The 27643-nt window shown below is 37.7% G+C and overlaps 2 long non-coding RNA genes across 5 annotated transcripts in view, besides 1 other annotated feature; one reads left to right on the forward strand and one right to left on the reverse strand.

The window, feature by feature from the left end:
* LOC105369321 (uncharacterized) overlaps positions 1–27643 on the reverse strand; it is a 95635-nt gene that overhangs the window by 39182 nt on the left and 28810 nt on the right. The window lies entirely within an intron of this gene.
* The window catches only part of LINC00301 (long intergenic non-protein coding RNA 301), a 71399-nt gene that overhangs the window by 31726 nt on the left and 12030 nt on the right, over positions 1–27643 (forward strand). Inside the window, exons 4-6 of the long non-coding RNA NR_026946.1 lie at positions 1692–1834; positions 6213–6307; positions 13246–13299. This is a non-coding gene — a long non-coding RNA (long intergenic non-protein coding RNA 301). The remainder of the gene's footprint in view (positions 1–1691; positions 1835–6212; positions 6308–13245; positions 13300–27643) is intronic.
* Positions 8793–8962: an enhancer, noted in NCBI's record as "experimental_21611 CRE fragment used in MPRA reporter constructs". NCBI's record gives its function as "activates a minimal promoter by MPRAs in K562 erythroleukemia cells, with activity observed for both the introgressed and non-introgressed 11:60423827 variant alleles {active_cell/tissue: K562}" and the evidence as "EXISTENCE:reporter gene assay evidence [ECO:0000049][PMID:34662402]".

Here is a 27643-nt window from a genome sequence, read left to right on the forward strand (position 1 = left end):
TACTAGTAACCATGGTATAGTTGAGACGATCCACTCTTGTCCTACGCATTTCGGCACAATACAGGCGTCTAGGAGGCTTACCTGGCATTGCCTGAGAGAATCTTCCATCCATTTAAGTAAGTAAACACCAGCGGGGCTGTTGGCCTTGTGAGTTGTGGCACCGTGAAAAACCAAGGCCTGCAGTTCTCAGCATCTGCCCAATTTGAGCTCCTGTTTGAAACCACTGTTGGGTTTCCCTTCTCTTCCTAATGGTTCAGGTGGCCATAAGATATCCTCTTAAGCTTGAGTGTCAGTTATTTTATAAGATCTCTGTTTATCACCTTGAGATGTTCTGCAGGGTCCCTGAAGTGAATTTCGTGTATTCACATAGCCTAGATTTTAAGTCGTTGCATTCCAGACTTACCATTCAAATTTGGAGTTTCAGCTTGCTCTTTAGGACAGTAGTAATAAAACTACAATCATGACTACATTTATTGCACAATGTTACATACTAGACACTTTTCTAAATTATCTATTAATACTAATTTTATGAATGCCATGAGCTCCTATACTAAGACCTCAAATAGCATGAAATGAAATCCAGTCAGTTTAGCTGTTTGCAAACTGCAGGAACACATAGAAACTTCGTTGTACTTATACATTTATTTGACAGTCACTGAGCTCCAAAAAAAAAAAAAAATGTACCATGCACAGTGCTTAGAATCTACAGTTACAAAGATGAATATGACAAAAACATACAAAAAAATGACTTATTGGTGGAACTGAAACTGACCAGAAATGGCTGGAGTATGGTTTGAGAAATTAGCCTGGAAAGGAAGCTGGAGGGCACATCGTGAAAGCCTCTTGTATGTTTGCAGACTATTCTAAAGTCAGTAGGGAGCCTCTAAAATGGTATGATGATATATGAAGAATTGCTGTGGCTGAGATGTGGGGAATAGGCTGAAGGAGCAATGAAATGAATAATGAATATTAGAGGACAGATGACCGAATAAGAAATCTTCATAATAGTCCAAGCAAAAAAATGAGCTCCTTGCGAACTGAGCCAGTGATCTTTGTCTACCATTTCTATCTCTACACCCACCCCTCAATATAGTAACAGATTTGGATTTGGAGTTTTCCATGTTTTAATGGGTTGGTTGATTTGGTTCAGCTGGGTTGGACTGGCTTTGGGGGAAGACTAAAGGGGAGGAAGTTGGAAGGGAGCAGTGAGGTATTCAAGTTTAACAATACTTCAGTTGGATTTCTGGGCACCATTTTAATTCCACTGAGGAATAGAAGTTTAAATTAGGAATGGGACAAAAGCCAAGTGCAGGATATGGAAAGCTCATGGAGAAGGTTAGAGGAGAGTTCCAATGCAGTGAGCATGTGGGAACCCAAAAGACTCATTCCTAAGATATAAGACTTATGTCAGTGAAAGTAATCTAAAACGACATGGTTAGAGGTGACATCAGTGAAAATGGCACAGTGGGGAACACCAAGCAATTAATAAGCTGGAAAAAACTTTCAGAAGCAACATTCTCACAACTCTGAAAATTAACGAAAACTTGCAGCAACCAAGGGATGCTTGATCAAGAAAACACAAGGAAATGTTGGAAACAGATTTTTGTGACATTTTAATTTATCCTAGTCTCATTTCCCACTCCCCAGCTCGTCAGTGCCCTTGAATAAAACAGCCTTCATTCTCTGTATAGGTACCCAGTAACAGAGGGAGCAAAGCAAATCTTATCCTCAAAGAACTGCAGCTGCTTGTTAGATCTACCTGGTGGTTCCATAGAGAAACTGCTCAGAGAACCTGCCTTTACCTCGCCTAAAACAGAACTATCCCGGAGCTCAGGTAAGCAGTGGCATTTGTCAAAAACATGTAAAGGAAAAAACATAATAGTCATTGATTTCTGAGGCAAGGAATAATGGTTGGGACAAATAATAGACTAACTGAAAAGTTTGGGAGAAAAGGCCAGGGAATGAGATGCTTTGAGTAACAAACTCCCACATATTTCTGATAATCTAGAAGGCCACAGACATGCCCTGGGCTAGACACATGCTCAGAAAAGACCTGAAAACATCCTAAGGTCTCACCTTCGGATAATGTTCAGACTCTGCACAAGTAGGAAGTAAAGGATAAGCAGAGTGGTCTTTAATGCATTTTGAGTTGATTTTTGTATATGGTGTGAGAAAAGGGTCCAATTTCATTATTCTGCATGTGGATACCCAGTTGTCTCAACACCATTTATTGAAGAGGCTGTCCTTTCTCCATTGTGTGCTTTTGGCATCTTTGCCAAAAATCTGTTGACCATAAATGTGCAGGTTTATTTGTGAGTTCTTCAGTCTGTTCCATTGGTCACTGAGTCTGTTTTCATGGCAATACCATGTTGTTTTGATTATTATAGCTTTGTAATATATTTCAAGATTATATAGTGTGATGACTTCAGCTTTGTTCATTTTGCTGAAGATTGCTTTGGCTAGTTGGGGTCTTTTGTGATTCCACACAAATTTCAGATTTTTTCTCTATTTCTGTGAGAAATAGATTGAATTTTGATAGAGATTGCATTGAATCCATAGACTGATTTGGGTAGTATGGATATTTCAACAATATTAACTCATCCAATCCATGAACATGAAATAGCTTTTCATTTATTTGTGTTTTCTTCCATTCCTTTTATCAATGGTTTGTAGTTTTCAGTATATAAATCATTTAACTCCTTGGTTAAATTTGTTTCTACATATTTTTTATACTACTGTAACTGGGTTTGTTTCCTTAATTTATTTTTTGGATAGTTCATTGTTAGTACAAAGAAAACCTTCTGATTCTTGCATGTTGATTTTTTCTTTTTCTTTTTTTCTTTCTTTTTTTTTTTTTTTTTTTTTGAGATGGAGTCTTGTTCTGTCACCCCAGGCTGGAATGCAGTGGCATGATCTTAGCTCACTGCAACCTCCACCTCCCAGGTTCAAGTGATTCTTATGCCTCAGCCTCCTGAGTAGCTGTGATTACAGATGTGTGCCACCATGCCCAGCTAATTTTTGTATTTTTAGTAGAGACAAGGTTTCACCATGTTGGCCAGGCTGGTCTCGAACTCCTGACCTCAAGCGATCCACCTGCCTTGGCCTCCCAGAGTGCTGGGATTATAGACATGAGCCACCACATCCAGCCGCATGTTGGTTTTTAACCTTGAAACCTTACTGAATTTGCTTATTAGTTCTAATAGTTTTTTGGTGGAATCTATGGGATTTTCTATATATAGGATCATGTCATCATGTCTATGGGGTTTTCTATACATAGGATTCATTTCCTATCTGGATGCCAATGTGTCCAGGAAGTGGAACATGGAGTCAAGCAAGATTATTCTGTAGACTTGAGATTTAACATTCTTTACCCAGTTGAGTTTTTCTTTGTTGCTATTTCTCCCTTTTAGAATGAAAATATCTATCCTATGCCTGTCACACTATTGTGTTTTGGAAGCACAAAACTTATTCGATTTCACAGGCCCACAGCTGGAGGGAAACTTATCTCAGGATGAATCATGCCTTGAATCTCATGCCTATATCTGATTTAGATGATACTCTTGACTTTGGACTTTTGAGCTGTTGCTGGAACAAGTTAAGACTTTGGGTCTCTAGGGATAGAATGACTGCATTTTGTATATTAGGACATATGTTTTGGGGGACTATGGGATAAATGCTATGGTTTGAAGGTTTGTCCCCTCCCAAATCGTGTTGAAATTTAGTTGCCGTTTTATCAATATTAAGAGGCAAGACCTTTAAGAGTGATTCATCCATGATGTCTCTGCTCTCATGAATGGATTAATGCCTTATCACTGGAGTGGCTTTGTTATTGAGGGAATCGGTTCATTATAAAAGGAAGAGTTTGGTCCTCTTTTGCCTCTCTATCTCTCACCATCTCTTTGCCTTTCCACCATGGGATGACACAACAGTAAGACCCTTGCCAGATGCCAACTCCTCAATCTTAGACTTCCCAGCTTCCAAAACTTTGAGCCAATAAATTACACAGTCTGTGGTATTCTATTACAGCACAAAATGGACTAATACAACTTGAGAGGAGCCTAATATATGATGTATCCTGGAGAATGTTCCATTAGTACTTGAGAAGAATGTGTATTCTGCTACTATTAGAAGAAATGTTCTTTATTTGTATATTAGGTCTATTAGGTCTACAGTGTAGTTCAAGTCCAGGATTTCCTTAATGATTTTCTGTCTGGATGATCTGTCCATTGCTGAAAGTGGGATATTGAAGTTGCCTACTATTATTGAATTGCAGTTTATTGCTCCCTTCATATCTATTAATATTATATATATGCACACATTTATATGGTGCTCCAATGTCGGGTGCATATATATTTACAATTGTTATGTCCTTTTGATGAATTGACCCCTTTATCACTATATAATTACTTTGTCTCTTTTTACGATTTTTTACTTAAAGTCTATCTTGACACATATAAGATAGCTACCCATGCACTGGTCTCCCTTTGTGTGGAATATCTTTTTCCATCCCTTCACTTTTAGTCTAAGAGTGTCTTTAAAGGTGAAGTGAGTCTCTTATAGGTTCCATAGAGTTGGGTCTTATTTGTTTATTCATTCAACCACTCTGTCTTTTGATTGGAGAATTTAATCTATTTACATTTAAGGTAATGTTTGACAAGTGAAGAGTTAGTATTGCCATTTTGGTATTTGTTTACTGACTGTTTTGTAGTTCCTTTGTTCTTCCAATCTTGCTGGTTTCCTTTGTGATTTGTTGAATTTTTGTAGTGATATGCTTTGATTTTTTTTTTATCTTTTTCACATCTGCTATAGGCTTTCTTTGTTTTGTTTTGGGTTTTTTTTGGTTTTTCTAATACTTTAAGTTCTAGGGTACATGTGCACAACGTGCAAGTTTGTTACATAGGTACACATGTGCCATGTTGGTTTGCTGCACCGATCAACTCATCATTTACATTAGGTATTTCTCCTAATGCTATTCCTCCCCCAGCCCCCTGACAGGCCCTGGTGTGTGATGTTCCCCACCCTGTGTCCACGTGTTCTAGTTGTTCAACTCTCACCTATGAGTGAGAACATGAGGTGTTTAGTTTTCTGTCCTTGTGATAGTTTGCTGAGAATGATGGTTTCCAGCTTCATCCATGTCCTGGCAAAGGACATGAACTTATCCTTTTTTATGGCTGCATAGTATTCCACGGTGTATATGTGCCACATTTTCTTAATCCAGTCTATCATTGATGGACATTTGGGTTGGTTCCAAGTCTCTGCCATTGTGAATAGTGCCACAATAAACATACGTGTGCATGTGTCTTTACAGTAGCATGATTTATAATCCTTTGGGTGTATACCCAGTAGTGGGATTGCTGGGTCAAATGGTATTTCTAGTTCTAGATCCCTGAGGAATCGCCACACTGTCTTCCATAATGGTTGAACTAGTTTACAGTCCCACCAACAGTGTAAAAGTGTTCCTATTTCTCCACATCCTCTCCAGCACCTGTTGTTTCCTGACTTTTTTATGAACACCATTCTAACTGGTGTGAGATGGTACCTCATTGTGGTTTTGATTCGCATTTCTCTGATGAACAGTGATGATGAGCATTTTTTCATGTGTCTGTTGGCTGCATAAATGTCTTCTTTTGAGAAGTGTCTGTTCATATCCTTTGCCCACTTTTTGATGGGGTTTTTTTTTTCTTGTAAATTGGTTTAAGTTCTTTGTAGAATCTGGATATTAAGCCCTTTGTCAGATGGGTAGATTGCAAAGATTTTCTCCCATTCTGTAGGTTGCTGCTATAGGCTTTCTTTTGTATTTACCATGAGGCTTAAATAAAAAATCTTGTAGATATACCTATTTTAAGCTGATGACAACCCAACCTCACTTGCATACAAAACCTCTACACTTTTACACCCCATACCACATTTTACATTTTTCTGTTACAGTTTACTTCTCTAGGAAAGACGAAAATAATGGGAGTGGGTCAGCTACATCAAAAGGTATCTACTCAGTCTCATTTTAAGGTCATTACAGAAGAATAAAATCTAAGAGGTAGCTTTTGGCTTTTGCCAGGAAGTTATTGCTGTTTAGCAGAGAATAGTGTCAGTGGGTTGATGCAAAAAGCTTTTTGCAAGGAATTGCTAAGCAGTGGAAAATCAGAGGCTTCCATTTCAAGTGCCTTATCTCAAAATAATCATTAGTATTACTTGTTCTCTATATTTCTCTATAGCAAAGGAGTCCATTCATCCTCTATAACTGCTATACAATATCTCTGTTAAAATGCTGAGAAGATTTATCCTAAAAGAAGGCACCAAAGCAATGGGGGTAAGGACTAAGTGCTACTTGGGTTAATAAATGACTAGTGTTGCTTCTTCCTAATAGAAAAAGGAAAAGACATTGACCACATCTTCCCCAAAGGAAGGAGAATTGACAAAAGTGTCCTAAGGTGATGATAACTAGCCTAAAGCTAATTGGACTCAAATGTGACGGACCCAAAAAAACATTCCGGAATAGTTCAACGTTACCACAATCCACCCAGGGTTCTAACAAATACATTCTGTGTTTGCTGATATATGAGAGGTCCATTTTCTGCCTGTGTCTGTAAACAGTTTGAATCAAAGCTCATCAATCATAAAGTGGTCAGGTAATGGGCTTAAAACCAGAAAAGGCTGTAGACCCTGGGGCACTGTACTGTCAACATGTGCCCCTTACATTCAGCTCAGGTGGGTCACATTCTGCTTCAATGATCTCCCGCTCAGCTCTCCTCAATCTTAGAATACTATACCCTTTTGTATTATCCAATATTTGTGGGACCTTGAATCACATTTGCATTTAAGTCAGCAACATTAAACCTTGCACTAGGAAAATTCTCAACGTATCAAATATATTATTATCTCCAGCTGGTTGAGACCTACCCAGTACACTATCAGAATGCAGGGCATACCTACATGCCTCTGAGTCAACAGGCAAAAATGAGAGTTAACGATGTTAGCTAGGGTGATCAATCCAGGATGCCAAGGGGAAATTGGACCACTACTTCACAATGAATAGAGGCAAAAATGAATATGTCTGGAATACAGGAGATCCTTTAAGATGTCTCTTAGTACTGTCATGCCCCATGATTAAGGTCAATGGGAAATTACAACAACCCAATCCAGGCAAGCCTATGAATGGCCCAGACTCTTCAGGATTAAAGGTTTGGGTTATCCTGTCAGGTAAAGAAACATGACCAGCCAAGGTTGCATAATACCCAGGCACAACCCCAAAGTAGACAGCTGTAGCACTGTAGCCCCTTTCTGAGGCATTCCTGAAGAAAATAATGAAGAAAAATCTTCCCAGTGGACAGAACTTCAAGCAGTACACGAGGTTGTATATTTTGCTTGGAAGGAGAAATAGCCGGGTGTGTGACTATATACTAATTCATGGGCTGTGGCCAATGGTGTGGCTGGAATGTCAGGGACTTGAAACGAATATGATTAGAAAAGTGGTGACATAGGAGTCTAGAGAACAGGTTTGTGGATAGACTTCTGAATAGGCAAAACACATAAAGATATTTGTGTCCCATGTTAATGTCCACCAAAGAGCATGATTCTCCTGCCTCAGCCTCCCAAGTAGCTGGGATTACAGGTGCACACCACTATGCCCAGCTAATTTTTGTATTTTTAGTAGAGATGGGGTTTCACCATGTTGGCCAGGCTAGTCTTGAACTCCTGACTTCAGGAAATCCACCCGCCTCGGCCTCCCAAAGTGCTGGGATTACAGGCATGAGCCACCATGCCCAGCCAGCAGAGGAAGATCTTAATAATCAAGTAGATAGGATGGCCCATTCTGTGGATACCACTCAGCCTCTTTCCTCAGCCACCCCATCATTGTCCAATGGGCCCATTAACAAAGTGGCCATGGTGGCAGTGGCAGGGATGGAGGTTATGCATGAGCTCAGCCACATGGGCTTCCACTCACCAAGGCTGACTTGGCTACAGTCACTGATAGGTGCCCAAAATGCCAGCAGCAGAGATGAACATTAGGTTCCTGATATGGTACTATTCCCTGGGGTGATTAGCCTGGTGGCAGAATGGCTACATTGGACCATTTCTGTCATGGAGAGGGCAGTGTTTTCTTCTTACTGGAATAGATACTTATTCTAGATATGGTTTTACCTTCCCTGCATTCAATGCCTCTGCAAAAACTACCATCCATGGACTTACAGAATGCCATATCTATTGCCATGGTAATGCCACACAGCATTGTTTTTGATCAGCGAACTCACTTCAGAGCAAATGAAGTGCAACAATAAGCTCAAGCTCATGTAATTTGCTGGTCTTACTATGTTCCCCACCATTATGAAGCAGCTGGTTTGACAGGATGATGGAATGAACTTTTGAAGACAATTACAGCACCAGCTAGCTGGCAATATCCTGCATAACTGGGGGAAGGTTCACTAGCAGAGTGTTTCTCCCACAGCTAGGATTCACAGGTCCAGAAATCAGGGAGTGAAAATGGGAGTGACACCACTCACTATTACCCATAGTTACCTACTAGCAAAAATTTGCTTCCTGTCCTGAAACATTATACTGTGCTTGTCAGATGTCTTTATTCCAATGGAAGAAATGCTTCTACCAGGAGACATAATAATGATTTCATTGAACTGGAAGTTAGGACTCCCAACTAGCCATTTTGGACTTTTTATCTCTGAATCAGTTGGCAAAGAAGGGAGTTATTGTGCTGGAAGGGGTTATCGATACTGACTACCATAAGGAAATTTGGCCTATTACTTCACAGTTAAGGAAGTGTATATTAGTAATACAGGAAGCCCCCTAGGGTATCCTCAGTATTACCATGTCCTGTGATTAAGGTCAATGGAAAACTACAACAACCCAATTAGAACAGGACTACTGATGGCCCAGACTCTTCAGGAGTGATGGTTTGGGTCAACCCACCAAGTCAATAATCACAGCCTGCTGAGGTGCTTGCTGAAAGCAAAGGAAATATGGAATGGGTAGTGGGAGAAAATAATCATAAATACCAGCTATAACCATGTGGCCAGTTACAGAAATAAGGACTGTAATTGTCATGAGTATTTTTCCTTATTTTGTTATGAACATGTTTGTGTGTTTGTGTGTATTACATACCTTTGTTTTCTTCCCTCTCTTATCCCCTTATTATGTAACATAAGATGTGTTGACTTTATGTTATGGCTTTTAAGTTGTGGTATTTCAACAGAAGAGTAAACGTCACTCAAGAATTTTGCATCCTCTTCTGGAAAAGTGTTAGTGCATTTTTTGTTGTATGCATGACAGCTGTTAGGCAAAAGTACATCTTTCTTTGGAGATTAAGTATGGTTTCACGAGATGTGTAAGTGGACTGCTAAGTGGACTGCTAAGTGGACATGAAGTTGACTTGTGATGGGTAATTTTATGTGTCAACTTATCTCTGTCAAAATATGCCTAGATAGTTGTTCAAACATTATTCTGGCTGTTCCTGTGAGGGTGTTTGTGGATGACATTAACATTTAAGTCGCTGGTCTTTGAGTAAAGCAGATTGCCCTTCATAATGTGGGTAGATTTTATTCAATCAGTTGAAGGTCTGAGTGAAACAAAAGGCTGACCTTCCCCCCTCCATTTCCCTCATCCCTCCCCTCATGGAGCAAGAGGAATTTTCCAGAAGACTGCCTTCAAGCTTCATCTGCACCATCAGCTCTTCCGTATCTCCAGCCTGCTGGCCCACACTATAAATTTTGGACTTGCCAGCCAAAATTTACAGAGTACATGTACAGATACAGAGTAAATCAAAACGACTGAGGCAAGTCTAAATCATTTTAAGATGTTTGTTTGCCAAGGTTAAGGACATGCCTGAGAAAGAACCCAGAACCACAGGGAAAATTGTGACCCATACTTTTTCTGAAGAGGGTCTGGAGACCTCAGTATTCAAAGGCAAAAGCGCAGGTATGAGGAAAGAGGAAGAAATTTTTTAAAGGGTGTGACTAGATAAGAGGCAAGCAGTTGCATCCTCTTGAGTGTTTCATCAGCCATTCCCTGAATACACAATGTACGCATGACAGGGGGGTACAGGAATAGTTACTTATACATTTGTCTAGTCCAATAAATCTGCCTTTTCACATAAGATAAAATAAACATAGGGCAGAGGAAGCAATCAGATATGCATTTGTCTCAGGTGAGCAGAGAGATGACTGAGTTCTGTCCTTCGTCCCACACCTGTGAAGATAAGGTCCTAAGATTTATTTTCCTTTTACTAACATATATATTATACACACATATATGTATATATAAAATATATAGGGTCTGTTTCTCTGGAGAACTCTGAATAATATACTTTTACATAATCTCAATACCAGAACAGAAACCCATATATTCCCTATGAACATGAATTTTAAGGTAATCTGATTGAAGTAGCTTTAATTCACTTAAAACTACCTAAATAGATCAGAAAGAAAGAATGGGCACCAGGGGATAAAGTAGTTGCAGGGCAGATGATGTTGGGTTTTAATCTCCAATACGGCCCCTTCGGTGGTTGCACACATCCTAGTCACTGGTGTGCGCAGGTGGCTCTACTCCGGCTGGAAAATAAAGCCCAGCTCCAAGCAGGCCCCAGAGAACCACTTCACATAAGAGCTATAGAAAACCAGGAGTCACTAGAGGGCCTGCTTGCCTGCTTTTTTGAACAAGGTCTAGAGCTGTGATCCAGATTGGTTACAAAGGTCAGCACTGGTTGCAGGAGCAGGCAGAGCAGAGAGAAACTGAGGTCCAAGTCACAAACAAGAGAGGATGAGGGAAGTAAGGCAAGATCAAAAGTTCCTATTTGGGATTCACAGTGGAGAACAAGAGCTGAGTCTACAGGCTGGAGCTGGCCTCAGAGAACCAACCATGGGACGGAGACAAATATCAAGGAGAACCTTAAGGATCCTCAGAGCCAACAGCTCTCCTTTTGTTGTGTGTCCTGGGCCAAACAAATAGGCCTCTGCTTTTTACTTAACTAGAACCAACTAGAAAAATAAATATTAGTTGTCTCTAAAGGTTGCTATGAAACAAAAGCAAATACTCCCTGTTTAAATACATGAGGAGACCGCACCACCTAACTGTGGCTGCCATTTCTCTATTCAGCCTGCTTTCTCTCTGACACACAATTCTTTCACTACTGCTTCAGAAGTACCAGGGTAAAGCAAACATTCTCCTAACCTCTCAGTCACCCAGACTGTAATCATCTGTGGTAGATTTGACTTGAGTAATAATGTTGGCTCTCTCTTCTCACAGGCTGTGCAAATAATGATTGGCCTGATTCACAGTGCACTGGGAACTCTCTGAATTCATTGGATTTTGCTAAGAGAGGATTCAAGTGGTTCTGGTCCTATCCCTATAATTGCTGTAGTAATTTACTCATTTTTGTCATTATTTTTTGTGAGTAAACCATGGTATTATTGCTTTCAATTCATTTATTTTTTTCTATTGAATTCAGGTGTCTAGAAATGGGCTAAAGACCCAATCTCTAACTTAAAGGAGCCCATTTTTGTGTGAATACAGACTTAGAAATGCCTTATGTTTGTTGTATATTTTAATAATTTTCTTGAGAGGTTGAGGTGCCTATATGGAAAATATATTAAAGGAGGATGCTTGAAGAATAATAAAGAGAGTGGCTATTTGGGTAACTACAAGGCTTATCTTTTGCAGAATGAAAAATCCAAAGGCCTTAGCTTAATGTCTGGGGCTACAGAGGCAATTTTTAGAGAGCATGTATACAGAAAAAAAAAAAAAAGGAGACCTAGAGGCACAGGAGGAATTTGGGGAAATTAAACAGAGATTTCTAAAGTAGATGTTCTGAATAAGGGTATTATAATAATTCCATGGTAGCAGTTGCCAAAACTCCCACCAAGGGCATGCCCAATTACAGAAGCAGAAAGTTTACCCAAGGTTAAATTTCTCCATAGAAGAGAGTTTTATTACCTCCTTACCCACAACTTTGTACTTTTCAACCAAAAACAGGGCTTCAAGGGAGAGAAGATTTAGTATAACACATTCCCTTTTGCTTTGTGAAAAGGCCTCTGAGACATCCCTGTACAGTCATTTCACCCAGAGAAGGGCCTGGTGATCTCTGCTCTGGATAAAAGACATTATTTTCTCTAAGGCTTTCTTATAGTGGGAGTCCTCAAGTGGAAGACATTTACAAACACCGAGAACTTTCTGGAAAGAGTGTATGTAATAAAGACAAATCATTTAAACTGAAATAATACAATTAATCACTTATTGCAAATCATCTAGAAAGAATCCTCAGCCCAAGATATGAAAGAGGAGCATATGACAGATATTTAGCCATAGATAATAATTACTCAATTTTATACCTATTATGTATCAGGCATCTCCAAAAGGCACTCCAAGTTCATTTTACCTTAATTGCCACGACAACCCCATGAGATAGCTATCATTCATCTCCATTTGACAAACAGGGAAACTGAGGCTTGGAGAACTTAAGTGACTCTCACAGAGTGACACAGCAATGAAGTGTCAGAGGTAAAAACAAACAAACACAAGCTAAGATGATTCTGCCTTCATGACAGGATTTCATTTTCCTGGGCTGAAGGATCCCCAGTCCCCTTCTTAGTATGTTTGAATCATCTTTTGTTATTGCCGCAGGCAGATTGAAGACAGGTATATGATTTACTGGAAAAAAATTAATTCTTGGTATTCCAGAAACAACAATCCTTTCAATTAGTGCCAGAAGGTGATGATAGCACTTAGGGTATGATATTTGTGGAAGGCAACCTATAAATCTTCAGATGTAATGTTTTCTGAAACTATTCCCACTGATGAAATTTTTTTTATAACATTATGGGAGAAACGTAGTTCTTGCAAGTGAGAGCCACCACACTAGCCACTAGGAAATATTTTCTAATAATTCATTTCAAGGGATCAATAAATGACAATTAAAACAAGTGAAGTGCCTACAACTTGTCCTCATAAAATCATTGTGAGCTCCCTAAGTCCCATCACCTATGCAAAGGTCTCATTAATGACCGGAGACTTTAAAACATTTTTCATCCCTATAACAGAGAAATAGTGAATCCATGCTTTAGAAATTGTACTAGCGGTCACTACAGACTTCGAATGGGGTTTTTCATGTTAAAATCACTTTCTTCAGAAATGCATTCAGTGCCACTTTGGATATTAGGAATGCCACTGGCTCTAGGGAAAGAAGCTATTGAGGGGATTATCATAAGGCATTGTGTGTTTATAAATGCTTATTTCTATCCCCAGTTCATCAACTCAGGATCCAGTAGTGTAATACAGAAGCCTGTTACGAGATATAAGGTATGTCAGAATATTCGGAGCAACTCTAAAGATTAAAATGTTACTTGGTGCAAACAAACAAAAAAAGAAATTATTGCTGGGCCAACATTTTTGGGGAAAAAAAACTTTTCCAAATGTTTAAATGAAAAAAAATTATTTAATTTTTGTAAAGATATCCTCCAGTGCATCCTCTGTGCATGAATGTTGGAGGAGGATACAGTGTGAGCAATAATATTGTATACAGAGACAGACGTGAGAGTTTCCATGAAATAAATCATTTCAAGCTATCTCAACGAGCATATATAACCAAATAAAACTTAAGACAAGGCCTTACTCTGTCACCCAGGCTGGTGTGCAGTGGGTGATCACAGCTCAATGCAACCTGGAGCTCCTGGGCTCAAGTGATCCTCCAGCCTCTGCCTCCCAAATAGCTGGGACTGCAGGTGTGTGCCACCACACCTGGTTTTTTCATTTTTTGCAGAGATAAGGGTCTTGCTATGTTTCCCAGGCTGGTTTTGGACTCCTGGCCTCAAGGCATACTCCTGCCTTGGTCTCCGAAAGTGCAGGGATTATAGACATGAGCCACTAAACCTAGCCACCAAACAAAACTTCGACCCTGAGAATCAAAGCATTGGGAAGCGAAGAAATGTAATTAGGATAAGATTAGAAAATTAGTGTCTAGTTAAGGAGAATGGATAAGACAAAATAATGTGTGAAAAGAGAATTGCCTTCAGCAAAACCAGGTCAGGAAATATCAATTAGAACACAAACCAGATATCATGACAACACATCTAACGAAGGATGGTCCTTTTTCTTTTAGAACTTCCCTCCTGTCTCTCACAGCCCCCCTTGTGATTAGGATCACAGCTCTGGAGGCAGATAGCCTGAATTTTCCAATTCTGACTGCCTTACTAGTGCCTGTGTAACCCTGAGCAAATTACTTTACTCTGTGCCTCACTCTCCTCATTTAAAAAATAAAATGTGGTTAATAATAGTAACTGCCTCAAAGGGTTGCTGTGAGGATTAAATTAGTATGTAAGCATAAAGAACAGTACCTGGGGCCACACAGGGTGGCTCATGCCTATAATCTCAGCCCTTTGGGAAGCCAAAGGCAGGTGGATCAGCTGAAGTCGCGTGTTCGAGACCAGCCTGGTCAACATGGCAAAGCCCCGTCTCTACTAAAAATACAAAAATTAGCTGGGTGTGATGGCGCACGTCTGTAATCCCAGCTACTCAGGAGGCTGAGGCACGAGAATCGCTTGAACCTGGGAGGCAAAGGTTGCCGTGAGCTGAGATCCTGCCACTGCTCTCCAGCCTGAGTGACAGAGCAAGTCTCCATCTCAAGAAAAAAGAACAGTAACTGGCACAAAGATACCACTCTGCTTATCAAAACCCGCTGAGAAAAAACAGGTGGATTCTCCTCTTTCCCCAGGGGAAAATCTGCTTTCAGGGACTGGTAAGAGAAGAAATTGAAATTGTATTTCATATTTCAGATAAAGGGGTCCTCCTATTTTTTCTTTCAGTAGAATAGGGTCAGAGTGGTATGAGAGGCCATTTTTCTCAGCCCCAGATTGGAAGCTATAATTATGGGCATTAAGCTATTACACTTTTTTTAACTTCTATTCCCAAGGTAGCCACTGTTAATATCATTTTTCATTCTAGGCCTTTTTCTAAGCTTTTTTTTTTTTTTTTTTTTTGTAATTTGTTTGCAAGCAGAGTGAACATGTGACTTAGAAGTCACCTGGTGTTGCTTTTCCACGGAAAACCTTACATCCACAGAGATATAAGTACAGATGACATGAAAGCCCATAAAGCCCCCATGTGATTTGGTAAACTCCCAGAACTAGCATTCTCATAGTTTAGTTTCTGTATTGGTGCATACTGTCCCAAATTTTCTCCACAACACCCAAAGAAACAGTTGTGAATAAACTCAGCCCCTTGACTGATTTTCACAAAAACTCACAAAAAGTTTTGGGTTTTTTTACTCGAGGATTGGTGGGGGAAGATTATGATTGTAATTTCCAAGTTCCAGTCACAACCTAGATCCCTTTGTAACTCTCTCCCTAATCCCCATCACTCCGTCTTCTGCCCTTCTTTTTCCATCTCCCCACTCCACCTCAATCAATCAATCTATACATATACATATATGTGTGTGTGTGTGTGTGTGTGTGTGTGTAGATATATATATATATAATTTGCTGCATGTCAGGCATGTTCTATGTATGTAGGATGCATCAGTGAACAAACAGATGAAAATTTATTACCCTTAGGGAGCTTACATTCTAATAGCAGGATAAAAGCAATAACAATAAACAGGACAAACAGGGAAATAATATAATATGTTAGAAGGTGATAGGTGTGATGAAAAAAAGAAAACGTAATAAGGGCTGCCATAGTTTCGTCTTGAACATTTGGACGGATTCAGTTGAGAATCTTAGACATGAAGATATTTAAAGCCAGGAGACTTGTTGAGATCTCCAGTGGAAAGAACACAACAAAGACGAAAAGAGAAACAAGAACTGAGCCCTAGGGCACTCCAACATGAAAAATAGAAAAAAGGGGAGAAAATAATAATTTTTTTACTTGAAAAGTTTCTTGGTTTAATCATGTTCTAAAGAGTAAAATATTATATCTTATTCGTGTGCATGTTTTCAAGTTAAAGCAGAAAATAAATGTAGAATATATGTTTTTGTTTGAATTTTTTTTTTTGTTTTTTGCTTGTTTGTTTGTTTTTTGAGACAGAATCTTGCTCTGTTACCCAGGCTGGAGTGCAGTGGTGCAGTCTCAGCTCACTGCAACCTCTGCCTCCCAGGTACAAGCAATCCTCCCAACTCAGCCTCCCAAGTAGCTGGGACTACAGGCTCCCACCACCACGCCCTGCTAATTTTTGTATTTTTAGTGGAGACGGTGTTTCATCATATTGGCCAGGCTGGTCTCAAACTCCTGACCTCAAGTGATCTACCCACTTCAGCCTCCCAAAATGCTGGAATTACAGTCATTAGCCACCGTGCCCCACCAGAATATATGTCTTTTGTACCATAATTTTTAAATTGTTTTTTCAAACAATATACATTAAGTGACTTCCTTTTGGGGTGCAGATATTTGAGTTCAGGAACTTTTTTCTGAAAACATATATATTTATTTTCATGTAAACCTGGGAAAATCTTTAGCTGTCTATGTAAGTATTATCTTAATTGATTCTTTTCTTAAGCATACAACTCAATAGTTTTTAGTATATTCACTGATATGTGCAATTATTAACACAGTCCATTCAAAAACATTTTCATCACCTCAAAAAGCAACTCTGTACCCCTTGGCTATCACTCCCATCCCCAACTTCCCATTCTCCCCAACCTTAGGCAGCCACTAATCTACATAGGGTCTCCATATATTTTCCTACTCCAGACATTTCATTAAAAATGAATCACATCATATGTAATTTCTTGTTAACTGGCTTATTTCACTCAATATATTGTGGTAAAAGTTCACTCATGTTGTAGCATATATCAGTACTTTATTCTTTTTATGACTAAACATTTCTATACACCATAACATTCAAGCTGAGAGTCAAATCAAGAATGCAATTGCATTTACAATAGCCACAAAAGTAATAAAATACCTAGAAATACATCTAACCAAGGAGGTGAAAGATCTCTACAAGGAAAACTAGTTAATACAAAATATTGCTTAAAGAAATCATATATGACACAAACAAATGGAAAAACATTTTATACTCATGGATTAGAAGAATCAAAATCATTAAAATGGCCATACTGCGCAAAGCAAGCTACAGATTCAATGCTATTTCTATCAAACCACCAATTATCATTTTTAGCACAATTAGAAAAAGTATTTCTAAAATTCATATGGAATCAAAAAAGAACCCAAATAGCAAAAGCAATCTTAATCAAAAGGAATAAAGCCAGAAGCATCCACATTACCTGACTTCAAAGTATACTACAAGGGTATAGTAACTAACCAGTACCATGCTGGTACTGGTGCAAAAACAGGCACATAGATCAGTGGAACCAAATAGAGAATTTGGAAATACATCTGCACACCCAAAACCAACTTATATTCAACAAAGTCAACAAAAATAAGCAATTGGGTAAGGATTCCCCATTCAGTAATGGTGCTGGGATAAGTGGCCATCCATATACAGAATAATAAAACCGAACCCTCAAAAGCAATTGCAACAAAAACAAAAATTGACAAATGGGACCTAATTAAACTAAAGACTTTCTGCACAGCAAAAAAAAGAAACTATTAAACTAAACAGACAACCTGCAGAATGGGAGAAAATATTTGCAAACTATACGTCCTACAAAGGACAAATACTCAGAATCTATAAGTAACTTAAACAATTCAACAAGCAAAAAACAAATAACCAAATTAAAAAGTGGGCAAATGACATGAACAGTCACTTCTTAAAAAGAAGACATACAAGCAGCCAACAAACATGAAAAATGCTTAATATCACTAATTGTCAGGAAAATGTAAACCAAAACCAAATGAGATAACATCTCATACCAGTCAGAATGGCTATTACTAAAAAGTCAAAAAATAGATATTGGTGAGAATGCGGACAAAAGGAACACTTATACACTGCTGGTGGAAAAGTAAATTAGCTCAGTCCCTATGGAAAGCATCTGGAAATTTCTAAAGAACTAAAAATAAAACTACCACTTGACCCAGCAATCCCATTACTGCATATACACCCAAAGGAAAATAAATCATTTTACCAAAAAGACATGCATTTACATGTTCATCACAGCACTATTCACAATAGCAAAGACATGGGATAAATCCAGGTGCCCATCAATGGTGAATTGGGTAAAGAAAATGTGATATATATATATATATACATATATATATATATATATATATATATATATATATATATATATATATATGCATACCATGGAATACTACACAGCCATAAAAAAGAGTGAAATCATGTCCTTTGCAGCAATATGGATGCAGCTGGAGGCCATTGTCCTAGGTGAATTAATGCAGAAACAGAAAACCAAATGCCAGTGGGGTTATAATAAGTGGGAGCAAAACGTTGGGTACATATGCACATAAAGATAAGAAAATAGACATTGATGAATGCTACTGGGGGAAGGCAGGAGGGAAGAAAGTTTTAAAAACTACCTCTTGGGTACTAACTGGGTGATGGGATCAATCATACCCCAAACCTCAGCATTATAAAATACACCCAAATAACAAAACTGTACATATGCCCCCTGAATCTAAAATGAAAGTTGAATTTTTTTTAAAGAACGTGAATAGATATTGTTTTATTTCTATAGTTTATTCAGAAATAAATCTGCACACCCACAACCAACTGGTATTCAACAAAGTCAACAAAAATAAGCAATGGGGTAAGGAGTCCCTATTCAATAATGGTGCTGGGATCATTGGCCATCCATACACAGAATAATAAAACTGGACCCTCTGAATGCCTTTTGGGTTTTCTTTACTGCCGAACTGCCCTGGTTAGAATTTCTAATACAAGGTTGAATAGATATAATGAGAGTATATCTCACCGTCTTATTCCTCATGAAAGCATTGAGTCTTTCACCAATAGGTGTGTTAGGTGTGGATTTTTATTAGATGCTCCTTATCAGGTTGAGAAAGATCCCATCTATTTTGAGTATTTTGAGTGTTTTTATCATAAAACAGTGAAGAATTTTCACCAAATGCTTTGTCTACATCAATTGAGATGATCATATGTGTGTTTTTCTATTTTACTGATATGGCATATGACATTAATTGTATAAGATAAAACCAGCCTTGCATTTGTGGAATAAATCACACTTGCTTACAGTGTACAAGCATACCTCGTTTTATTGTGCTTTGCTATATTGCACCTCACAGATAATGAGGTTTTTTACAAAGTGAAGGTTTATAATAACACTGCATCAAGCAAAGCTGTTTCTTCAACATCACGTGCTCACTTCATGTCTCCGTGTCACCTTTTAGTAATTCTCACAATATTTCAAACTTTTTTATGATTATTATATTTGTCATAGTGATCTGTGATCAGTGACCTTTATGATTATTATATTTGTCATAGTGATCTGTGATTGGTGACCTTCGATATTAACATTGTTATTGTTTTGGCATACCATAAACTGTGTCTATATAAGACAACAAATTTAATTGATAAATATGTGCGTTCTGACTGCTCTACCAACCACACTTACCCTTGTCTCTCTCCATCTCCTTGGGCTTCTCTATTTTCTAATATACAACAACATTGAAATTAGGCCAATTAATTATATTTGTCATAGTGATCTGTGATCAGTGACCTTTATGATTATTATATTTGTCATAGTGATCTGTGATCGGTGACCTTTGATATTAACATTGTTATTGTTTTGGCATACCATAAACTGTGTCTATATAAGATAACAAATTTAATTGATAAATATGTGTGTTCTGACTGCTCTACCAACCATCCTTACCCCTGTCTCTCTCCATCTCCTTGGGCTTCTCTATTTTCTGAGATACAACAACATTGAAATTAGGCCAATTAATAACCATACAATGGCCTCTAAATTTTAAGTGAAAAGAAGAGCCACACATCTCTCTCTTAAGTCAAAAGTTATAAATGATTAAGCTTATGAGGAAGGCATATAGAAAGGTGAGATAGGCCAAAGTTAATCCTCTTGCACCCAACCATTAACATAGGTGTGAATGTAAAGGAAAAATTCTTGAAGGAAATTAAAAGTGCTGCTTGAGTTAACACACAAGTGATAAGAAAACAAAACAAGCTTGTTGCTGATGTGGAGAAAGTTTTAGTTGTCTGGACAGATCAAACCAACTACAGCATTTCCTTAAGCCAAAGCCTAATCCCTAGCAAGGCCCTAATTGGCTCTTTTCAATTCTGTGAAGACCGAGAGAGATGAAGAAGCTTCAGAAGAAGAGTTTGAAGCTAGCAAGGTTGATTCATGAGGTTTAAGGAAAGAAGTTGTCTCCATAACATAAAAATACAAGGTGAAACAGCAAGTGATAATGTAGGAGCTGCAGCAAGTTATCCAGAAGATCTAGCTAAAATAATTGATGAAGGTGGCTGTATTAAACAACAGATTTTCAATGTAGATAAAACAGCCTTATATTGGAAGAAGACGTCTTATAGGACTTTCCCAGCTAGAGACAATGCTTGGGCTCAGAGCTTCAAAGGACAGGCTGACTCTCTTGTTAGAGGCTAATGCAGCTGATGACTGTAAGTTGAAGCTAATGCTCATTTACTATACTGAAAATTCTAGGGCCCTTAAGAATTAATCTACTCTGCTTATGGTCTGTAAATGGCATAAGAAAGCATGGATAACAGCACATCTGTTTACAGCATGATTTACAGAATATTTTAAATTCAATATTAAGAACTACTACTCAGGAAAAAAAGCTTCCTTTTAAAATATTACTGCTCATTGACAGTGCACCTGGTCACATGTGTTTTCATGTCTGTTAACATAACATCCAATTTGCAGTGATGAATCAAGGAGTAATTTGTACTTTCAAGTCTTGTTATTTAAGAAATACATTTTGTAAGACTACAGCTGTCATAGCTAGTGATTCCTCTGATAGATCTCGGCAAAGTAAATTGAAGAGCTTCTGGAAGATTCACCATTCTAGATGACATTAAGAGCATTAATGACATACAGGAGGAGGTCAAGATAGCAACATTAGCAGGACTTTGGAAAAAGTTGATACTACCTCTCATGAATAACTTTGAGGGGTTCAAGACCTCGGCGGAGGAAATCACTGCAGATGGGATGGAAATAGCAAGAAGGGAAGCCTGAAGATGTGACTGAATTGCTGTAATCTCCTGATAAAACTTTAATGGATAAGGAGTTGCTTCTTATGGATGAGTAAAGAAAGTGCTTTCTTCAGGTGGATTCTACTCCAGTGAAGATGCTATGAACATTGCTGAAATGACAATGAAGAATTCAGAATATTACATAAGCTTAGTTGATAAAGCACTGTCAAGGTTGGAGAGGATTGACTCCAATTTTGGAAGAAGTTGTATGGTGGATAAAATGCTATCAAAAAACATTGCATACAACAGAGGAAACTTTTGGGAAAAGAAGAGTTGATGGGTGCAGCAAACTTCATGTTATCTAATCTTAAGAAATTGCCACAGGGACCCCAACCTTCAGTAAACACCACCCTAATCAGTCAGCAGCCAACAACATCAAGGCAAGACCCTCCACCAGCAAAAACATTACAGCTCACTGAGGCTTAGGTGATCATTAGCTTTTTTTAGCAATAAAATATTCTTAAATTAAGTACATTTTTAGACATAAAGCTATTGCACACTTGCACACTTAATAGACGACAATAAACTGTAAACAGTAGCATAACTTTTTTTTTTTTAAGGCGGAGTCTCTCTCTGTCCCCCAGGCTGGAGTGCAGTGGCACAATCTCGGCTCACTGCAAGCTCCGCCTCCTGGGTTCATGCCATTCTCCTGCCTCAGCCTCCCAAGTAGCTGGGATTACAGGCACCTGCCACCACGCCCGGCTAATTTTTTTGTATTTTTAGTAGAGATGGGGTTTCGCCATGTTAGCCAGGATGGTCTTGATCTCCTGACCTTGTGATCCACCTGCCTCGGCCTCCCAAAGTGCTGGGATTACAGGTGTGAGCCACTGCGCCCAGCCAGCATAACTTTTATATGCATTGGGAAACTAAAAAATTCATCTGTTACGTTATTAAAGTATTCATTTTATTGCAGTGGCCTGAATCTGAACCTGCAATATCTCCAAAGTATGCCTGCATATTTCTTTTTCTGTGTTGCTGTATTGAGTTTGCTAACATTTTGTTGAAGATTTTTGTGTCCATGTTCATAAGAGATCATGGTTTTTAGTTTTCTTTTGTTGTGATGCATTAGTCTGATTTTGATCTCAGGGTAATAGTGGCCTCACAGAACGAGTTAGGAAGTGTTCCCTCCTCTTCTATTCTTAGAAGAGTTTGTGAAGAAGGTAATTCTTTAAATATTTGGTAGAAGTCACCACTGAAGTAATCTGGGTCTGCACTTTTCTTCATAGAAGATCTGATTATAAATTTAAATACCTTAATTCTTTATAGTCTATTCAGATTTTCTATTTCTTCCTTAGTTTTAGTAGTTTGCATGTTTCTAGGAACTTGTCCATTTCAGCAGGTTATCTAATTTGTTGGCATATAATTGTTCATAGTATTCTTTCATAATCACATTTATTTCTATAAGGTTTGTAGTAATGTTTCCACATTCATTTCTGATTGTACTAATTTGAGACTTCTCTATTTTTCTTTAGTCTCATTAAAGGCTTTTCCATTTTGTTCATCTTTCAAAGAATCAACTTTTGTGTTCATTGATTTTATCTACTGTTTTTCTATTTTGCTTCTAAATAATTTTCACTTTAATCTTTACTACTTTATTTCCTTCTGCTTTCTTCAGGTTTGATATGGGTTTTTTTTATTTTCATTATCTTAAGATGGAAAGTTAGGTTATTGATTTGGGGTCTTTCTTCTTTGTTAGTATAGGCATTTACAGCTATAAATTTCTATCTAAGCACTAATTTAGCTGCATCCTATAAGCATTGATATGCTGTATCTTCATTTTCATTCATCGCAAAGTATTTTCTAATTTTCTTTTTATTTCTTCTTTAATCCCTTGGTTATTTAGGAGTATGTTGTTAATTTCCACATATTTGGGGTTTCCCAAATTTGTGTTATTAATTTTAATTTTGTTCCATTGTACTTAGAGAAAATACTTTACTATTTCTAGCCTTTTAAATTTATTAAAATGTGTTATGCCCTAAACTCTGGTCTATTCCAAAGAATGTCCCATGTGCAGTTCAGAAAACCGTGTATTCTTCTGTTGTTGGGTGAAATGTTCTATAGATGTCTGTTAGGTTTAGTTGGTTTATAATGTTGTTCAAATCTTCTATTTCCTTGTTTATCTTCTGCCTTGTTGCTCTACTCATCATTAAAAGTGGGTCATTGAAGTCCCTAACTATTATTGTTAAATTGTCTGTTTCTTTCTTTGTTTCTGTCTGGTTCTGCTTTGCGTGTTTCAAGCCTCTGTTCTTAGAAAATATATGTTTATAACCATTATAAAATGTTCCTCTCTATCTCTAGTAGCATTTTTTTTTTTTTGAGACGGAGTCTCACTCTGTTGCCCAGGTTGGAGTGCAGTGGCCCCATCTCTGCTCACTGCCAGTTCCGCCTCCTGGGTTCACACCATTCTCCTGCCACAGCCTCCCGAGTAGCTGGGACCACAGGCGCCCACCACCACGCCCAGCTAATTTTTTGTATTTTTAGTAGAGATGGGGTTTCACCATGTTAGCCAGGATGGTCTCCATCTCCTGACCTCGTGATCTGCCCGCCTCGGCCTCCCAAAGTGCTGGGATTACAGGCATGAGCCACCATGCCCGGCCAACATTTTTAAAATATATTTTGTCTGGTATTAGTATAGCCATTCTAGCTTTCTTGTGTTTGTTCTTTGGATTACAAATATTTTTCTATTTTTTTGTTTTCATTCTTTTTGTGTCTTTGAATCTAAAGTGTGTCTCCCATAGACAGCACATAGTTGGATCTGGTTTTTGTATCCAATCTGACAATCTCTGCCTTTAATTGAATTGTTTTATTAATTCACATTTAATCTTATATTGAAATAGTTAGGCTTGCATTTGACATTTTACTTTTTCTCCATGTTTTATGTTTTTTGTTTCTCTATTCTGCCTTGACTGCTTTATTTTTTGGCTAAGTGGATATTTTCTAATGTAGTATTTTAATTTTTAATAATTTTTTACTGTATATTTCAGTTATTTCATTAATTGTCGCTCTAAGGCTCATCATATTTTAACTTATCAAAATCTGCTTCACATTTATACTAATTTAATTCCAGTGAAATATAGAAACATTATCCCTGTATAGCTCTATTTCAATACCTCTTTATGTGATATTATTGATGTATTACATCTATGAATGTTACAAACATAAGATAACATTATGATTATTACTTTATATAATTCTATCTCTTTTAAAGAAGCAAAGAGAAGAAAAGGAACAAGTATACATTTACAGTTTTTGTTATTTACCATTTATCTATTTACCATTACAATTTATTATTTACCAGAAATTTTTTATTTATAATTTCTTGTTCTCCTCATTTGTTCCTGTGGGTTCAAATTTAACATCTAGAGTTAAACTCCTAGATGTTGATTCCTTAGCTTAAAATACATTTGCTCCTCTCCCCCCACTTTTGCTGTTATTGGCAAATATATTGCATTTCCCTATGTTATAGACCCAACAATACGTTACATACATATTGTTTCATATGATTGCTTTTTAAATAAGTTAGTAGAAGAAAGAGGATAAATTTGCATTTACACTTTCTTTTATATTTGTATAATTTTCTTTTGTCAGTGATCTTTATATTTTCATGAGATTCAAATTACTGTCTGTAGTCACTTGCTTTTGGTCTGAAGAATTTTCTTTAGTATTTTTTGTAAGGCATGCTAGCAACAAATTCTTTCAGATTTTGTTCATCTGCAAATGTCTTTATTTTGTTTTCATTTTTGAAAGACAGCTTTGCTAGAAGTAGGATTCTTGGTTGATAGGTCTTTTTTTTCTTTGAACCCTTTGAATTTGTTATCCCACTACCTTCTGGGTTTCAATGTTTCTGATTAGAAGTCAGCTGTTAATCTTATTGGAGTTCCCTTGTATGTCTCAAGTCATTTTTCTCTTGCTGCTTTCGAGATTTTCTCTTTGTTGGCTTTCAGCGTTTTTACTGTGATATGTCTACTTGTGGATTTCTTTGTGAGTTTCTTCCTTGGGATTTGTTGAGATTCCTAGGCGGTATAGATTAATGGCTTTGAATAAATATGGAAAATTTTCAGGCATTATTTCTTTGAATATATTTTCTGCTTCTTTCTCTTTCTCCCCCTTTCTGGTACTTTCATTATGTATATGTTGTTTCCTTAATGGTATTTCACATTTCTCTAAGTCTCTATTCATATTTCTTCATTCACTTTTCTCTCTGTCTTTCAGATTGCATAATCTCTATCAATCTATCTTGAAATTCACTAATTCTTTCTTCTGCCACTTCAAATCTACTGTTGTGCCACTCTAACGAATTTTTTATTTTAGCTGTTATAATTTTCAACTCCAGAATTTCCATTTGGTGTTTTAAAAATGATTTATATATCTTTACTGATATTCTCTATTTGATGCAATATTGTTATCACACCTTCCTTTACTTCCTTAATCGTGGCTTACTTAAGTGCTCAAACATCTTTATAATGACTATTTTGAAACATTTGTTTATTAAATATTATATCTGGTCTCTCACAGTTTTTGTTGCCTACAGTTTATATCATCTATGGGTCAAACTTGCCTGTTTCATTGTCTGTTTTATATTGTTGCCTATTATATAATTGTTTTGCTGGAAACTGGGCATTTTCGATAATATATTATAGCAACTCTGGGTACTCATCCCCCACACCAGGACTTATTGTTATTTACTTGATTAGAAAAAAACTGTCTAGGTTGTTTCAGTGAAGTCTATTTCTCCGTCCTCACTGTTAAGCTTTGATGTTGCCCCTTATAGGGTACAGGCTTGTGATGCCCACAGTCACCCTGGGATGACATTTATCTTGGAAAGGCTCTTTGTCTCTTTCCCTAACCATACCCAGCTGTTAAGCTCTGCTAGTGCTTGCTGGTTGTTCTGAGGCAAAAACTGCTTCACAGACTAACCCAAACAAATTTGAGCTCCTTTGAGGGGATAGCTCCCAAAATCAGTGTTTGAGATTTGTTCTGACTCCAAAAGGGCTCTTCCTAGCTTCCCCTTTTCCCATTTCTCTCTGGGAAACTCGTGGGCCTACAGTTTAGCCTGTATCTAAAATGTATCTGTGAACACCTACCAAGTGCCTTTTACCACAACTTCCACTGTTTTTGAGAGTACTTGTAAGCCTAAACTTCTCCACATGCTACAAATGAAGTCACCTCCTTTGGGAACAGAGTGGAGATTTCTATTCCATAGCCTATTTCTCTCCCAACATCTCTGAGCTAAGGATCTGGTGCAGGGGTGAGGAAGTGGGTAGGGACAACGGAGTCTTTCTCTTTAAGAGTTGAGGGTTTGGTGAATGGGGGAGGGGACAGAAGCCCCAGTTCCTCTCAACTTGCCTCTCATGATGTGAAACCCTTACCCCAAAGCCAGAAAAAGGTCAATTAGAGCCCAGTATTATAGAGTCTTCATCCCATGAGTAAAAGCTGGGTAGAAGAGATCACCCATCTCTTGGCTGCATTCACTTGGTACTTAGCCTCAGTGTTAGTATTTGGGCAGGACCAGAAAGGCTAATTAGATGGCCTACCCTTCCTGAGAAGATAGTATAGCACTCTGACTGGGATCTTTGAGAAAAGGGAGCCCTGTGTTTTTGGCTATTCCAATCTAGAGTGGTCTTGCTGATCTGAGAGGAGGGAGGGAGGGTGCAGATCTTGGTTCAGATACCATACCAGAAACTCTTACAGCATTTACTGAGTAGATTTTCTTGAATAAATGTTCCTTTATTTGCTATATTCCATTAAAAAGGTTTACAGAGTACAGAGGTTTTAAAGGATTAAGATTTTTGAAATAATTTTTACAAATTTGGCTGGGGAGCTGGTTGAGTTCCTCCCATTCTTATGCTGGAAGTGGGACTCTCCAAAAATAATAATGCTGTACACTTAATTCTATAAATAATTTATTAGAATTTTTAGGAACATAGATACCTTCTTAAGTGATCCTGGTTCATAAGCCTCTCTATCCTCATTAATGGACATAGGATAAGTGTGCAGAGGCATTCTAAGCATACCACAATCTGACTTTGTACTAAGGATGAATCTTTTTAGTTGACAACTCCAGCAGCATAGTTCTACATATTCACAAAGCTAAAATTGAAAATCCTAATCACAATATACTAGATTATTCCTCCTTTAGTATGCCATGTATTAAATGTATTATTTATACATGACTAATACATATATGTATTAATACATGACATGTATTAAATGTATTAAATGTATTAAATTTTATTAAATGAAATTGTGCTTGTAATTATATCTCCCCCATTAGATTAAAAGCTCCTTGAGTAGAAACCTGAGGTTTAGTACATTGTAGGCATTGTATAATTAATGAATAAATAAATATTCCCTCTGAAAAAAAAATTATCCTACTAGCTTCTAGACAAATTTGAGGTGGACTCCTGATATCAACCTCTGTGACAATCAAAGAAAGTCAGATTTTTAAAACTTTAACTTGAATGTTCTAGCCAGTAGGACAGACTGATTGCTTCAGCAACATCTGTTTATGCTGTCCATAACCAATTTTTCTTTGTATGT

This window comes from Homo sapiens, chromosome 11 (assembly GCF_000001405.40).
Source record: "Homo sapiens chromosome 11, GRCh38.p14 Primary Assembly".
NCBI lineage: Eukaryota > Metazoa > Chordata > Mammalia > Primates > Hominidae > Homo > Homo sapiens.